Source organism: Homo sapiens, chromosome 14 (genome assembly GCF_000001405.40).
Source record: "Homo sapiens chromosome 14, GRCh38.p14 Primary Assembly".
Taxonomy (NCBI): domain Eukaryota; kingdom Metazoa; phylum Chordata; class Mammalia; order Primates; family Hominidae; genus Homo; species Homo sapiens.
Window position 1 is genome coordinate 53,086,824 of NC_000014.9, and position 17,839 is coordinate 53,104,662.

General features: G+C 34.1%; 1 protein-coding gene across 10 annotated transcripts in view; it reads right to left on the bottom strand.

The window, feature by feature from the left end:
* The window catches only part of DDHD1 (DDHD domain containing 1), a 116,569-nt gene that overhangs the window by 50,069 nt on the left and 48,661 nt on the right, over positions 1-17,839 (bottom strand). For 2 of the 10 annotated variants that reach the window (XM_011537189.3, XM_011537188.3), the window contains exons 2-6: positions 16,860-17,033; positions 16,208-16,228; positions 9,294-9,395; positions 6,493-6,621; positions 4,962-5,109 (exon numbers count right to left, since the gene is read on the bottom strand). In XM_011537189.3, coding sequence (XP_011535491.1) covers positions 4,962-5,109; positions 6,493-6,621; positions 9,294-9,395; positions 16,208-16,228; positions 16,860-17,033 — 574 coding nt within the window. The remainder of the gene's footprint in view (positions 1-4,961; positions 5,110-6,492; positions 6,622-9,293; positions 9,396-16,207; positions 16,229-16,859; positions 17,034-17,839) is intronic. The other 8 variants (XM_017021668.2, XM_005268102.3, NM_001160147.2 and 5 more) reach the window with 4 other exon arrangements.

The window sequence follows — 17,839 nt, forward strand, 5'->3', positions numbered from 1 at the left end:
GCTAAATGTCCCCAGTTAAAAGATACAGACTGGCAAATGGGATAAAGACCCATCAGTGTGCTGTATTCAGGAGACCCATCTCACATGCAGACACACACACAGGCCCAAAATAAAGGGGTGGAGGAAGCTCAACCAAGCAAATGAAAAGCAAAAAAAAAAAAAAAAAAAAAAGCAGGGATTGCAATCCTAGTCTCTGATAAAACAGACTTTAAACCAACAAAGATCGAAAGAGACAAAGAAGGACGTTACATAATGGTAAAGGGATCAATTCAACAAGAAGAGCTAACTATCCTAAATATATATGCACCTAATACAGGAGCACCCAGATTCATAAAGGAAGTCCTTAGAGACCCTACAAAGAGACTTAGACTCCCATAGAATAATAATGGGAGACTTTAACAACCCACTGTCAATATTAGACGGATCAACGAGATAGAAGGTTAACAAGGATATCCGGGACTTGAACTCAGCTCTGCACCAAGCAGACCTAATAGACATCTGCAGACCTCTCCACCCCAAATCAATAGAATATACATTCTTCTCAGCATCACATCACACTTATTCCAAAATTGACCACACAGTTGGAAGTAAAGCACTCCTCAGCAAAGGTAAAAGAACCCAAATGACAACAAACTGTGTCTCAGACCACAGTGTAATCAAATTAGAACTCAGGATTAAGAAACTCACTCAAAACCACACAAATACATGGAAACTGAACAACCTGCTCCTGAATGACTACTGGGTACATAACGAAATGAAGGCAGAAATAAAGATGTTCTTTGAAACCAATGAGAACAAAGACACAATGTACCAGAATCTCTGGGACACATTTAAAGCAGTGTATAGAGGAAAATATATAGCACTAAATGCCCACAAGAGAAAGCAGAAAAGATCTAACATTGACACCCCAACATCAGAATTAAAAGAACTAGAGAAGCAAGAGGAAACAAATTCAAAATATAGCAGAAGGCAAGAAATAACTAAGATCAGAGCAGAACTGAAGGAAATAGCGACACAAAAAACCCTTCAAAAAAATCAATGAATCCAGGAGCTGGTTTTTTGAAACAATCAACAAAATTGATAGACCGCTAGCAAGACTAACAAAGAAGAAAAAAGAGAAGAATCAAATAGATGCAATAAAAAACGATAAAAAGATTATCACTACTGATCCCACAGAAATACAACAAACTACCATCAGAGAATACTATAAACACCTCTATGCGAATAAACCAGAAAATCTAGAAGAAATGGATAAATTCCTGGACACATACACCTTTCCCCCAAGACTAAACCAGGAGGAAGTTGAATCACTGAATAGACCAATAATAGGCTCTGAAATTAAGGCAATAATTAATAACCTACCAACCAAAAAAAGTCCAGGACCAGAGAGATTCACAGCCAAATTCTTCCAGAGGTACAAAGAGGAGCTGGTGCCATTCCTTCTGAAACCATTGCAGTCAACAGAAAAAGAGGGAATCCTCCCTAACTCATTTTATGAGGCCAACATCATCCTGATACCAAGGCCTGGCAGAGACACAACAAAAAAGAGAGAATTTCAGACCAATATCCCTGATGAACATCAATGCAAAAATCCTCAATAAAATACTGGCAAACCAAATCCAGCAGCACATCAAAAAGCGTATCCACCAAGATCAAGTTGGCTTCATCCCTGGGATGCAAGTCTGGTTCAACATATGCAAATCAATAAACGTAATCCATCACATAACCAGAACCAAAGACAAAAACCATGTAATTATCTCAATAGATGCAGAAAAGGCCTTTGACAAAATTCAACAGCACTTCATGCTAAAAACTCTCAATAAACTAGGTATTGATGGAACATATCTCAAAATAATAAGAGCTATTTATGACAAAACCACAGCCAATATCATACTGAATGGACAAAAACTGGAAGCATTCCCTTTGAAAACTGGCACAACACAGGGATGCCCTCTCTCACCACTCCTATTCTACATAGTGTTGGAAGTTCTGGCCAGGGCAATCAGGCAGGAGAAGGAAATAAAGGGTATTCAATTAGGAAAAGAGGAAGTCAAATCGTCCCTACTTGCAGATGACATGATTGTATATTTAGAAAACCCCATTGTCTCAGCCCAAAATCTCCTTAAGCTGATAAGCAACTTCAGCAAAGTCTCGGGATACAAAATCGATGTGCAAAAATCACAAGCATTCTTATAAACCAATAACAGACAGAGACAAATCATGAGTGAACTCCCATTCACAATTGCTTCAAAGAGAATAAAATACCTAGGAATCCAACTTACAAGGGATGTGAAGGACCTCTTCAAGGAGAACTACAAACCCTGCTCAATGAAATAAAAGAGGACACAAACAAATGGAAGAACATTCCATGCTCATGAATAGGAAGAATCAATATCATGAAAATGGTCATAATGCCAAAAGTAATTTATAGATTCAATGCCATCCCCATCAAGCTACCAATGACTTTCTTCACAGAATTGGAAAAAACTACTCTAAAGTTCATATGGAACCAAAAAAGAGCTCACATAGCCAAGACAATCCTAAGCAAAAAGAACAAAGCTGGAGGCATCATGCTAACTGACTTCAAACTATACTACAAGGCTACAGTAACCAAAACAGCATGGTACTGGTATCAAAACAGAGATATACACCAATGGAACAGAACACAGGCCTCAGAAATAACACCACACATCTACAACCATCTGATCTTTGAGAAACCTGACAAAAACAAGAAATGGGGAAAGGATTCCCTATTTAATAAATGATGCTGGGAAAACTGGCTAGCCATATGTAGAAACTGGCTAGCCATATGCAGAAAGCTGAAACTGGATCCCTTCCTTACACAAAATTAATTACACCTTATACAAAATTTAATTCAAGATGGATTAAGGACTTAAATGTTAGACCTAAAACCATAAAAACCCTAGAAGAAAACCTAGGCAATACCATTCAGGACATAGGCATGGGCAAAGACTTCATGTCTAAAACACCAAAGACTTCATGTCTAAAACACCAAAAGCAATGGCAACAAAAGCCAAAATTGACAAAAGGGATCTAATTAAACTAAAGAGCTTCTGCACAGCAAGAGAAACTACCATCAGAGTGAACAGGCAACCTACAGAATGGGAGAAAATTTTTGCTATCTACCCATTTAAACAAGGGCTAATATCCAGAATCTACAAAGAACTTAAACAAATTGACAAGAAAAAGTCAAAGAACCTCATCAAAAAGTAGGCAACGGATATGAAGAGACACTTCTCAAAAGAAGACATTTATGCAGCCAACAGACACATGAAAAAATGCTCATCATCACTGGCCATCAGAGAAATGCAAATCAAAACCACAATGAGATACCATCTCACACCAGTTAGAATGGCAATCATTAAAAAATCAGGAAACAACAGGTGCTGGAGAGGATGTGGAGAAATAGGAACACTTTTACACTGTTGGTGGGACTGTAAACTAGTTCAACCATTGTGGAAGACAGTGTGGTGATTCCTCAGGGATCTAGAACTAGAAATACCATTTGATCCAGCCATTCCATGACTGGGTATATACCCAAAGGATTATAAATCATGCTACTATGAAGACATATGCACACGTATGTTTATTGCGGCACTATTCACAATAGCAAAGACTTGGAACCAACCCAAATGTTCATCAATGATAGACTGGATTAAGAAAATGTGACACATATACACCATGGAATATGACACAGCCATAAAAAAGGATGAGTTCATGTCCTTTGTATGGACATGGATGTCGCTGGAAACCATCATTCTCAGCAAACTATCGCAAGGACAGAAAACCAAACACCGTATGTTCTCACTCATATGTGGGAACTGAACAATGAGAACACTTGGACACAGGGTAGGCAACATCACACACCGGGCCCCACTGGGGTGGGGGGATGGAGGAGGCATAGCATTAGGAGAAATACCTAATGTAAATGATGAGTTAATGGGTACAGCAAACCAACGTGGCACATGTATACATATGTAACAATCCTGCAGGTTGTGCACATGTACCCTAGAACTTAAAGTATAATAAAAAAAAAAAAGTTGAATTGTATTTTAACTTTAATCCGTTAGCTGGCATTAAGAGATGTTACAATAAAAAGTGAAATAAAACTCAGCATTGCATTATTATTATAGAGGTGTTGCTGAGGACATACTTTCTGGTATCACACACTGTTTGCTTTATAAGGACTCAAGCCTTTATAAGCCTCAGAATCAAATAAACTGGGCTTGTCAACAACAGACTTGTTCTCTTGGCATCATCTATAACTGATTATATTTTTCTTTATACTGGTTGCTAGCTCAGAGCCAAATTTGTGGTGGAACCCTTAACCCTAACATGCCCTTTCAACAAAGTTGTTAATGTTTTTGAAACACGCAAATATCACATATACCCCTAAGACATCTTAAAAAGTTTCAGGATAAAGCTGAATATAAATAAACTAATGAGGTAAATAACCTGTCTGGTGTGTTGGTAAATAATCCACTGTTTTCCACATAAAATTCAGAGTTCAGTTTCCTTGGGTAGCAATTAATTGGATAGGTTAAGCTGCTAACTGGCTAATTCTTAGCCTTTTTAGAGTTGTGCAGCTTTGCAGTATTCTTAGTTTCTGAAGTTCAGAGAGTAAGATGTAACTTAAAACTAGATCTTCTTCTTGCTTTCAATGTTAGATTATAAATTAACTTAATGTATTAGATTAAAAAAGGCTTCCTTATCCCTCTTCTCCATACTGTGGGGAGAAAGATCAAACATTGTCATCATCCTGTAGACATAATCCCTCTCAAAATTTGGTCCAGATACTTGATCTATGACTTAAGAGGTATTAGAATAGTTGGCACTGGAGGAACATGCAGTGGAATTAGTATACTGTTAATATCTCTTATACCCTGGATCAAAGTTTGGATTCTAGATTAGATATACAATGCATTCATCAAAGAACTTACATAGCTGTATTTTTGATAATTCTTCCTTGGTCCATTTTCTGCCCAATGCCATGCACAACAAATACAATATGGGTAGTCTGTGATGGCTTGTCTTCTAATGTGGCTTCTTCTACATAACCTCTATGAAGTCTGGTACCACTACTTGATGCTGTAGAAAAATTATAATTCTAAGTTTACTATTTAATCTGAGAAATAGCATTTCCACAATATGTTAAAAGAAAAAAAAGAAGTAAAAGGAATATTATGAAAAAATTTCACTGGCTGTGGGGGAGGAAATAAAAACTGTAAGAAGGTATATATTGATCAGCTGTGATATAAAGTGAACTGGACACAACACCAAAGCCAGAAACCATAAAGAGAAAGAAATGGAAGGAAAGAAGGACAAACTGAATATATAAAAATTTAAAGCTTCTATATTATAATAAGAAAATATCAGGAAAAAAGAAATGGCAAACTGGAAAAAAATATGCAAAATATAACACATAATTACTTAAGTATACAGAGAGAGCTTACTAATTAAAAAGTAAAGACAACCATTCAAATAGCAAAATAAGTTAAAGTTATGGAAGGTAATTCAAAATAAATATAACTAATAAACATAAAAAGATATTCAAAGCACACTTATTGATGAAATTAAAATTTTAAAATAGGATATAAAAATTTTATCAAACTTTAAAATTCTTTTTACATTTATTTTTTGATAATGCTCTCACATCTTTCCCAGGTATCATTCTCTCTTTTCTTTCATTTAGTCAAACTTCTCTAAACAGTTGTCAGGCCAGGCACTGTATTTCAAGCCTGTAACCCCAGAGCTTTGGGAGACCAAGGCGAGAGGATGGCTTGTGCCCAAAAATTTGAGACCAGCCTGGACAACACAAGGAGACTCCGTTTCTACAAAAAAATAAAAAAAATTAGCTGGGCATAGTGATGCATCCCTGTAATCCTAGTTACTGAGGAGGCTGAGTTTGGAGGATTGCTTGAGCCCAGGAATTAGTTCCAGGTTATGATGTGCTATGATCACACCACTGTACTCCAGCCTGGGAGACAGAGTGAGACCCCATCTTAAAAATAAAAGAAGAAAAAAAAAAAGGAGTTGTCTATTCTCATTGCTTCCATTGCTTCACCTTCTACTTACGCTTCAACCCATGCCGATCTGGTTTCTGCCCCATCAATCCATCTAAGTCACCAGTGACCTCCAGATCACTAAATACAATGGAAAACTTTCAGTCCTCATCTTCCTTGACACTATATTTCAACTGCCACATTTTAGGTTTAACAGCTTTTGTGCTTTTAGAAGTATAAAAGATATTTATTAATTTTGTCAAATCATTCTAAATATATAATAATTATTCCTTGATGAACACATGTCAACTCAATCAACTTAATAAAAGTTTCATTTAAAAAGGAATCTGTCACTAAATTTAATATACTTAAAACATACTAAAAACAGAATATGAATTGTCTATTTTGAATATGAGAGAAAGTCAGATTCCCAAAATTTTGATAAGCTCTAGTAATATTTAACAATTACCTTTAGAAAATCCCAGTTTTTGGGTAACTGTTCTTGCAATTTTAGATGTTGTTGCATCACTATAAAGATATACTTCATCCACACTGTGCCAGTCCACATGGTTTCGACTCAACTTGAAACTATGAACAGCTATTGCAAAAAGGAAAAGCTAATTTGAAGGTCTCCAAGACAAACTTTATTTGTTTGAAGAATTATAACACTCAGATTTTAAAATCAATATGTTATCTAAAAAACTCAGATATGGAACTTAATTCAATAAAACACTATTTCACATAAAAAAAGTTATGTGAAGCAAGTAATGGATAGGGACTTTATTTTATAAATGATTAATCCTGCTACAGGGAATGGCAACTTTTTAAACCATTGAGTTACTTAACTATCATAATTTTAACCTCTAATATACAGCTTCTATGTGTTTTGATAATTAACTGCTTTCCCGGGTGATGTGGCTGACTCTTCACTGGGTCTAAGGCATATATACCTCAAGCCCTCAATAGCTTTGACAGAGCAACTTAATTTCAGTTTCTTCTACTGATTTTACTAAAAATATCAAAGGATTTGTAAAAATTTCACTAAGTGGCCAGGTGCAGTGGCTCACACCTGTAATCCCAGCACTTTGGGAGGCCAAGGCAGGCGGATCACGAGGTCAGGAGATCGAGACCATCCTGGCTAACACGGTGAAACCTCGTCTCTACAAAAATACAAAAAAAAATTAGCCGGGTGTGGTGGCGGGCGCCTGTAGTCCCAGCTACTCAGGAGGCTGAGGCAGGAGAATGGCGTGAACCTGGGAGGCGGAGCTTGCAGTGAGCCGAGATCACGCCACTGCACTCCCGCCTGGGCTACAGAGCAAGACTCCGTCTAAAAAAAAAAAAGAAAAAAATTTCACTAAGTACTAGACAAAATAAGACTCAGAGGGGAAAAAAATTTACCTTTAAACTGGGAAAAAAATAATCTATTAGAAAATGAGGTATTTTTGGAATGGATAGTAAAGCCAATAATTATTGGATATTGCTCATCATAGCAGAAATCCAAAATTGAAAGATATTTTAGTAATACAAAATTAAGGAAATGTTTTTCTGCCATGATGTTCAAATCAGTATGGTTGGCTGGGTGCAGTCAGTCACGTCTGTAATCCAGCACTCTGGGAGGCTTAGGCAGGAGGATCACTGGAGCCCAGGAGTTTGATAGCAGCCTGGGCAACAATAATGAGACCCCGTCTCTTAAAAAGAAAACTAAAAAATTAGCTGGGCATGGTGATATGTGCCTGTGGTTCCAGCTACTTGGGAGGCTGAGGCAGGAGGATCACTGGAGCCCAGGAGTTTGATAGCAGCCTGGGCAACAATAATGAGACCCCGTCTCTTAAAAAGAAAACTAAAAAATTAGCTGGGCTTGGTGATATGTGCCTGTGGTTCCAGCTACTTGGGAGGCTGAGGCAGGAGGATCGCTTAAGCCCAGGAGGTCAAGCCTGCAATGAGCTATGATCATGCCACTGCACTCTAGCCTGGGCAACACAGAGAGATCCTGTCTCAAAAAAAAAAAAAAAATCAGTATGGTTGCTGCATTTCTGTAACTGGGGATATGCTTGGTGAAAATGAGGCCTTAAAAAAATTCCAAACCTATTTTCTTTAGGAATTCGTAAGCCCCAGGAGCCAGGGAATGTGTCTTGACCATTTCTTATATATCCCTAGCACCAAACAGAATGTCCTATCACAGTGTCTGGCACATACCACAAATACAGCAATGTTTGTGGAAGTAGTGAAGAAATTGATATAACATATCCATCAATTCATAATTTGATAATTCTTATGTTTTGAGGACCTTAAGCTTTTCCTTTATAGCTCTGGTATATAGGTAGGAAAAATTAACATACCCATCTTCAGAAAGCTAAGTACCTTCAAATCACTATGCTTGATTTATTTTCTTAAAATTCTTTCAAGGCAAAATATTATCTCCCATTTTACTTACAAAAATACAGAGGTACAAAGAGACAAACTGACCTGCCACAGAGTTAGCTACTGGCAGAGTCTAACTCTACTGATTTAAAGATGGGCTGAAAATAACCTCAAGCTAAATATAAAAAGATATAGCTCTGGTCAAGATGTATGATCATAAGACATTTTTATGAAAACCTATTCCCCACTAGGATACAAGTACATTATGAGGAATTGTACTTCTTAGTTATATTAAATATGCAACTTCAGAAGTTTATGAAAAACCAATTTATATTTTACTTACCTGCCACGGCACATTACTAACACTGTACACCAGATCAAGATTCAATTAACATAATAAACATAAATTATATCTTCGGTTCCAAAGAAAATAATGTATAAGGTCAGCTTTTTAAATAAAAGAGCTTTTCATAAACTAAAAAAAATCTTTTGCAAGGGTTTAACAATCACTTTTCTAATTACATATCTGATCCATGCCACTACTTCAAGCTCTTATATGTTTCTAAACCACATTTTTGTTAAAATAGTTGTGAGCAACAGATGCTTAAAACGTTAAACTATGAGATCAAGATATTTAGAGATGAGTGTTAAGCCAGAAAAATTATTTTCCTCTTTAAATCATCCATATATCATCTTAAACCATTTTAATGTTGGGGAACATCTGAATATCCTGTTACTGGACTATACACACTGTTTACCAATATTTATACACATAATAAAGTAGCAGTAAACAAACTAATACAATGGACACATTTAAAAAAAACTAATAATTTCTATGCTTTAAATGCAACTGAATACTATAAGCCAGGAATATAACTACATGGAGAAATAAAACTACAATTACTGTACCTTGGGAATGCTTTCGTTTAAGACCTGTCGCATCTGTACTCTCCTTATATCTTCTCCATTTGAACAGAGAAGGGAGGGAGAAGGGAGGGAGGTGGTAGACAACTAAGAAAGCAAAAACACTGAGCTTCAAAGTAAATTTTAAATGAGATTTGCCATTTTGCCTTTTTGTTCTAGTATTAACTTTAAAAAATGAGTTGTATTTGAAAAACATTATTCTAAATGCTTCATTTATATGATTTCTAAGAATCAGTAAAGCAAAACATTAGTATAATGTTTATCAAATAGCTGCTGTTACTGAAAGAAAAAAGGCAAATAATATCTAAATTTATTAAAAACAACTGATTATCATGTTTAATGTCTTTGCATAGAAAGAATTTTTAAAAAAGAACATAACATTTTCAAATGCCAAGAGATTTATAAACTCCATCTTTACAACACTAAGGTTATTTACTCTCACCAAATTTGTGACTGACACAGCCAACAGCTGATGTACAAATTGAAAATGCAATAAATAACATTTTACATATCTAATGCAACCTTCCTGAGAAGATACCACAGCATACATTCTACTAGATGCTTTCCACTGCTGAAGTATAATGGAACCTTCCCTTAGGGAAAAAAAAAAATTCTTTTCTCAACTCCATTCAAGTTCTTAAAAGACTTTAAAAAACAAAACTTTTACTAAAAAACAAAAATCAAACTGGAAGCTCTGCTTTTAACTTTGCTTTTGAAAAGACTGTAATAAAATAATGAAAAAAGTCATTAGTAAAAATGTATGCTGTGACAACTTGTAAGCACTAAACAGACAACATAGAGTAAAGCTAGGCACAGACTTGATATTTGGCAAATCAGTAGATAACCTTAAAGTCAACATTTTCCCTGTCAAATTTTGGTAGTTATATAAATTTCTTTATATTTTAAGTAAGCAATTATTTAAAAGTTCACTTGAACTTGAACCTTACAAATTAGTTTCTCACCAGTTAATAAATTACAGGATCTTTATGATTAGCTCAAATTCATGTTCAAATACATTTGATTTTCATCCTCACTCCCTTCTATATTAATGTGACATTCAAAGGTTAAATACTGCTCAAATACAAAAATATTTAATTCCTGTTTTATAATACTAGAAATGTAACAAATCTGTTGAATATGCAGATGTAGTATATGCAAAGATTTGTGTAATAAAAGTAATTGAGAAATGCTTACAAGACACAATAACTATATCTATATGTAATTAGATGGCTACAAAACTATAAACTGGAACTAAAAGCTGTGCTACGTCAGGATTATAACAACATTTCCTTGTCACAGAGAGGTAAAAAATGACAACTGATGCAATTTTCTTCACTGAAAATGTTTCTTCTTTCATGTGCCTTCTGGTCAGTTACTGAGGAGCAGATGTACCACTTAGACCAGGAAACAGTTTTAAACAAAAAATTCATTAGGAAAAAGATGCTAATATATCAAAGTAAATCAAACTGACACAAACTTGAGACTTTACTGCTTGAAACAAAAACTAGATTTTGTAGATCTGGTAGTAAAACTAACGTGAACCAATTCCATATTATTAAATATTAAACGAGAACGAAATGGGAAATGTATGGACCATTTGACCATGTTTTAAAATTATGTAAACGCTTTCGGAAAGCTAGCCAAGATACACAAATGAAGGCTTTCTTTTCTAAAAGAATAGTATAATTTAAGGATTAATAAAAAGACAAACACCCCTATACACAGAGAAACAAAGAAAAAAATTTTTTTCATCCTCCAGAGAAACATATTTAAAACATTTTCACAAAATTAAACAGACATGGTTCTTTCTTTTCAAATGTAATTCTTATTTTCACTTGAAAGTCATTTGCTTTATTTATTACACATCCTGTAGCATACAGAGCTTAACTTTTTCAACCCAAAGCACAGAATTAGGGGTACTATGATAAGTACAGTAGAGGAAAAAAAGAGTTTACTATCGATCCAAACAAAGATCACTGTTAAAGAAAATTCAAGTGCCAGAAAGCACTATTTAATTTTCTTTTTTTAAAATACAGTTTTAGTTAGAAATTCTTACACAGTATTAGCAAAAGATGCATAACCTCAAAACACAACTGCAAATGCTAATTTATTAGTGCTAACATTTAATAAAAATTAATATGTTAAAGTCTTACATAGCAATGAAAAAGATTTAAAATACTAAAAATATTTCCAATAAATTTCCTTACTATATCTTAAAGAAACTTTCTGCATTATATAACTCTGAAAGCACAAGAGTATCACAAAAGAGGGTTACTGCTGCTGATGACATACTAATTCCTACAACAGAAAAACTAACTTTTCCCTTTAGAAAAGCTGGCAACCTGAAAAATTCCAACCCCAGGGAAGCAGTCTTACACATCTCTAACCTGCCAACTATAATGAGAAAATTTCTGGCAATCTTTCTTGGACCTCAGAGAAATAAAGTTAGATAAATTTATAAAAATTAAATAATAACTAAAAGCTAGAAGGTGGGAATCCTCTTAGTCACCAAAGAGAGAAGAAAAGGAAAGCTAGTTAGAAGGTGAGCACCCCTCCATCTTTTTAATCGAGCTTTGAAATGCTATGTTCACAGTACGGGGTATATTTATTCAGCTACAGTGATAGGAATACACACTTCATCCACCAACTTGTTAAATGTCATAAATCTTTACAGAGACACCAACACCTGTGCTGCTATGGCACCTGAAATTACCTGGAACAGTAAGAATTCCAATCTTTTACTTTCAATTTATCTGTGATTTTTATAGTCAGGTCTTGCGTTCTTAAACAATCTGTCACTTTGCCTTTTAACTGGAGTATTAATTATCTTATATATACAAATATATTTATATTTGTTGTTATTGATATGGGTGAATAGGTCTGCCATTTTTCCATTTATTTTTCTCTTTGTCCCATCTGTTTTTTGTATCTCTGTTCCTTTTTCTTGGTTTATTTTGGGTTAATTGAATATTTTTTAGTATTCCATTTTAATTCCTCTACTAGACTTAAACTTTGTATTTTGGAATAATTTTAGACTTAACAGAAAATAGCAAAAATAGTACAGGGAGCTATGACATATCCTTCATCCAGCTTCTCCTAATGTTAGCATCTTGCATAACTATAGTATAATTATCAAAACTAAGACATTAACAGTGGTACAATACTATCAACTAATATACAGACTTTATTCAGGTTTCTCTAGTTTTTCCACTAGTATCTTTTTCTGTTCTACGATCCAATCTAGGGTACCACATTGCATTTTGTTGTCATGTCTCCTTAGTCTATTCTGTGACAAATTCCTCAATATTTACTTGTCTTTCATGACCTTGACACTTTTGAAGACTGCTGGTCAGTCAGTTATTTTGTAGAATCACCCTCAGTACGAGTTTTCTCACGACTGAATTGAGTTTACTCATTTTTTGGGCAGAGTGATGTGCTGCACTTACCCATTCAGTTCAACCTATTTTTTACTGATTACTATGCATGTTTGGATCAATAAGATGTAAAATGAGTGAAACACTAATCCAGCAGTAGATTTAAGTATTAATGTTTACCAAATTACTTGTTGACATCTTGATTTCTATTTTTATGTTTCATCCCAAGTGAAACAGTAGGCTTTCATTTGTTAAACTGCTAAACATTTTCTAGCCCAGGAGGTAGGGTAAGAAGAAAATCAATTTTCATTTTAACTCTCACAGAGAACTAAATTTAGATTAAAGTATCTAAATCACAAAGTCATTATCTCTTTGTGGGTTATCTTTATTTGTATGCTACAAAGAGTTACACACTGTACCAAATTTTCATGTTTTTTTTAATTCAATGCTCATTTTGAGATTAGTAAGGAAAGTTAATAAGGAGGAAAAGATTAAATACAGTTGGCACTCCTGATCTGCAGATTCAACCAACCACAGACCAAAAATATGTGGGGAAAAAAACAATAAAACACAAAAATAAAAAATATTATCAATCAAAAACCAACATGGTGTACAACTATTTACATGGCATCACATAGTATTAGGTATCATAAATAATCTAGATATTATTTGAAATATACAAGACAGAGCTGGGCACAGTGACTCACACCTGTAATCCTGGCACTTTGTGGGGGCTGAAGCAGGAGGAACACTTGAGCCCAGGAGTTCAAGACCAGCCTGGGCAACATAGTGAGACCCTGTCTCTACAAAAAATTTAAAAAAAAAATTAGCCTGGTGTGGTAGTGTACACCTTCTTGGGAGGCTGAGGTGGGAGGGTCCTGGAGCCCGGGAGTTAGAAGCTGCAGTGAGCTGTGATTATGCCACTGCACTGCAGCCTGGGTGACAGAGAAAGACCCTGTCTCCAAAAAGTAAAATAAAATATATAAGAGTATGCTCACAGGTTACATGCAAATACCACTCCATTTTATTAAAGGGACTTGGATGTCCTCAGATTTTGGTATCTGGTGGTGGTAGGGGGTACCTAAAACCAATCCCCCACAAATACCAAGGGACAACTGTACAGCTAATCTGTTTGTGGCAAGAACAACCCTAACCAAACAGCCAAGGTCAGAAGAAAAAGGAATTATTATTTATTTTAATGTCCCTGAAGGCAAGAACTATTAGTTTCTTTGATATTCCCTAGAGCATTTAATAAACATCCCTGAATATAGTATTTTAAAATGTTTTAAATTATTAAATGAGGTTTTTCCAGAAAGCCTTATGTGAATAATTCCACTGCATTGTGATTATCTACTCACTTTATTCCAAATATCTTTTCAGAATATGTAATATTGACTGTCTACTACTATGTCTTCTTGTACTTACTCTTTTGTAACTGTTTTCATCTGTTGGCTTTGTCTACTCTAACAGGCTTAAAACTCCTTGAGGGTAGAAACCTTGTCGATTTCTTTCACAAAAGTGCCTACCACATTACTATACATGGCATCATTCAAAATCTGACAATATGAATAGTCAAGGCTTTATACATGAGAAAATTTAGGTGGAAAGGGTATTTTCCTCCCTCAAACTAATGAAGTATAAAATTTCAGAAGCTTAGAGCTAACAGTAAATTAAAAAGATTATAATATTTTTTAGTCTTTGTAGTTACAAATTTGAATGATTTTCCCGACAATGGTAGCTTTTTGGATAGCAAATGTTCTTTCCTTAAGACTTGTTATTATTTTCAAATGTACTACACAATTTCCCATAATTTTCAAAGCCAAATGTAACAAGATATAAATATATGTTTAATATTGAATAAAAATAAAGTGACCAAAAATTATGACAAAGATATGTTCAGTTGAACACATCTTTGCTAATAACAGAACATGCTGAATCTTATATGCCACAGTACATTATAAAAACAAATTTTCTTCTAATGAACCTCAAAGAATCATCATTTTTGAAAGATTACAATGCAAAAGTGTTCTAATAATTTAATAATTTTCCATTACTAATTAAAATTTTACTACTCCATGTATATCCATAAAGATAACAAAAAATATTACGATATCCTAGAGATTGCTACCCTAGAACTGATATATACACTCACACATACACATACGCAAAGACATTCTAAAAAATGTACTCACACAAATAAACCATCTTCTTACATCAGTCTTATTTAAATTCAAACACTTTGAGAAAAACTGAAGTATCTTGCTACATTTAGCATTTAGGCAGGAAGCAGAAGTAAAAAGTACATATTAAATTCTAATTTTTATTGTAGTAAAAACAAGATTAGAAACAGGCAGAATCTAGAGAAGAAACAGAGCTGATTATTAATCTCCACAGGGTGACTTAGCAAATGGAAAAAAAAAAAGTTCTGAACACAGAATGAGAAAGGGGAACCATCTACTTGTATTTTTCATACTCATCCTCTTTCTCCTCCAAGCTCCTGGATTTTTTTCATGTGTTAATAATAAGAAATTCAGGTGGCTAAACTGGGTTTGTGATGGTGAACTGACATTTTTGAGGCAGAATACTTAGGGGAATTAACAGAAGGAAAAAAAAATCTGGAACTCAGACTTCTCCAATGGCAATAAGATTATTTTATGATAAAAGGTCTATCCTTCAAATACTATGAAGTAGACTTTTGAAATTATTCTGACCAATAGTGATGAGAAGTTATGAAATATTTCAGTCACTACCATAAGATCACAGATATATAAAACTTGCTATTTTTACTATAAGGAGAACAAAGTATTACATGGCAATCTGTAGAAACATACCTAGAGCTCTTACACTGGGCTGCTCCTTATTTATTGATATGTAAGAACCTTTAGTTTAAATTTTACAGTGAAATAAGGACATATTTGATTCTACCGATTAGGAAAATATATTTAGAATTTCCAGAGTATGGTATCTGGCACATAAAAGACAACTATTATTATATAAATTTGTTAGCTTTAATTGCTAATTTATTCAGAAGTCACAAGTTTCCTCAGTTATATAGACTTTTAATCAACTAGATGCAAATGATATTTTAATTTGATATAAGCTAAACTACACAGTTTCCTTGCTTGTGACAAATGTATACATATGTTCAGAGAGGTAAGAGAGAGCAAAGAGTGGCAGAGAGAAAAAATATGGAGTGTTACTAACAAGAAGAAGAAAAAAATCCCCTGCCAACTTAAAGCTTAGTGCTGACATTAATTATGTTATGTAAACAATTACTTCCAACCACATAATTCGTTTTTTTCAAGCTTCATTCTGTAAATCACCTGATCAATATTGAGTTTTTCTGCTTTAGAGATGTTTTAGGAGGGGAAGGGAAAAAATCAATTAATATTTTAATTCATTAGATTCAGTAGAGCTTGCCAAGAAACCTCCCAAATAAAGACTAGCATGGATGAAGAAACGGTTTTAGAAGAAAAACTTCAGACAAATCTACAAATTCTAATCTACCTGTACAGTTATACTCACCAGAATAGTTGATCCCACTGCCTGCAGTAAATGGAACAATAGAAGTATTTTTAACTTTACCACATATTTTGAAGTTTACTCAAGATTTAGACACACAATGAAAATGTGGCAATCTTAGCTACTATACAGTATTTTGAACTGTTACAAAAATATGCAAGTGCTGAATAAAGAAATGTAATGAGTAGATTGTTTCAAATTAAAACTTGATATGGTTTTCAATAGGGGATAACTAAGAGATACACAAAGATAATTAAAGATTTTTTTTTTGAACTTCAGGAAAAGAACATTGAAATATTAATGAAACTTGTCTTGATATAACAACAAGGAATTTTTGGGTTAAGTTCAATTTCCTTTGATAACTAAAAAATTACTAAAAAAGATTAAATAGGGAGTGCATTGTAACAATCTGTACATTTATAGTAAACTGTGTTAATATCATGACACTTACCATACATATTAAAATAAAAATTGAGATAGTTCAGATATTTATAGTAGTTAATTTTTAAATTCTAGAATAATCAAATGTTTAAAAAAATCAAATTTTCTAATTCTAAACCTCCTGAATTATTATGTCAAATTTACAAACCACTCTAAACTTTATCAACAACTTACTTGGTTTGTAGAATATATTAAATGTATCAATTGATCTTACCATCTTTTCCATCTATGGATTTTGACACTTCAATATCGAAATTTTCCTGCATCTGCTGGCCCCTAAAACAATTGAGATGTTCTTGCTCAATTAAATTACTTTCTTCCTCTTCTAGAGGCTGCCAAGTGCCGTCAATAAACCACTGTCCACGCATTACTGGTATTTTATCAGCCTCTGAAAAAGAGAAATCACAGAATTATACACATTTTAAGATTCAACTTCCCCAAAAGAGACACAGTATCTACAATCTTATATTTTGCTACTGCTGTCACAAAAACAGATTTTCATGACCCAATACAATCATCTAAACTTTTATTTATGTTTATTTATTTTGAGATATTTATCTTGCTCTGTTGCCCAGGATAGAGTGCAGTAGTGTGACCACAGCTCACTGCAGCCTTGACCTTCCAGGCTAATTTTTATATTATTCTGGTAGAGATGTGGTTTTGCCGTGTTGCCCAGACTGGTCTGACTGGTCTCAAACTCCTGGGCTCAAGAGATGTGACCACCTTGGCCTCCCAAAGTGCTAGGATTACAGGTATGAGCTGCTGCGCCTGGCCCATTTAAAGTTGTAAAATCCAGATTTTGAGCCAGAGTGTATCATATTCTATGGCACATACTTTTACTTATATTAAATTATTATGCCTAAAAATCACTTTAGCACTAGAAAGATAGATGAGCAGCTATGTATATAATTGAGACTCTGAATAACCAAAATTAGTAGGCTAAGGGTTTGTTAAAACGAGTTTCATGCAAGGCTCTGATGATAGTTCCAATGTCTTAGAAAATATTAATATAAAATCCAGACTAGTGTTTAGAAATAGTGTGTGTGGTAGTAGTGTGTGGCACTTTTTAGAGCTGCCTTGGAGACTAGAGGCTTCTAGTACATATACAGGATAAATGAAACTATTATATTAGTAAATATTTCATCTACTTTAGGGAAAAAAAATCAAGAAAAACTTTCTTGGCTAACTTTTGAT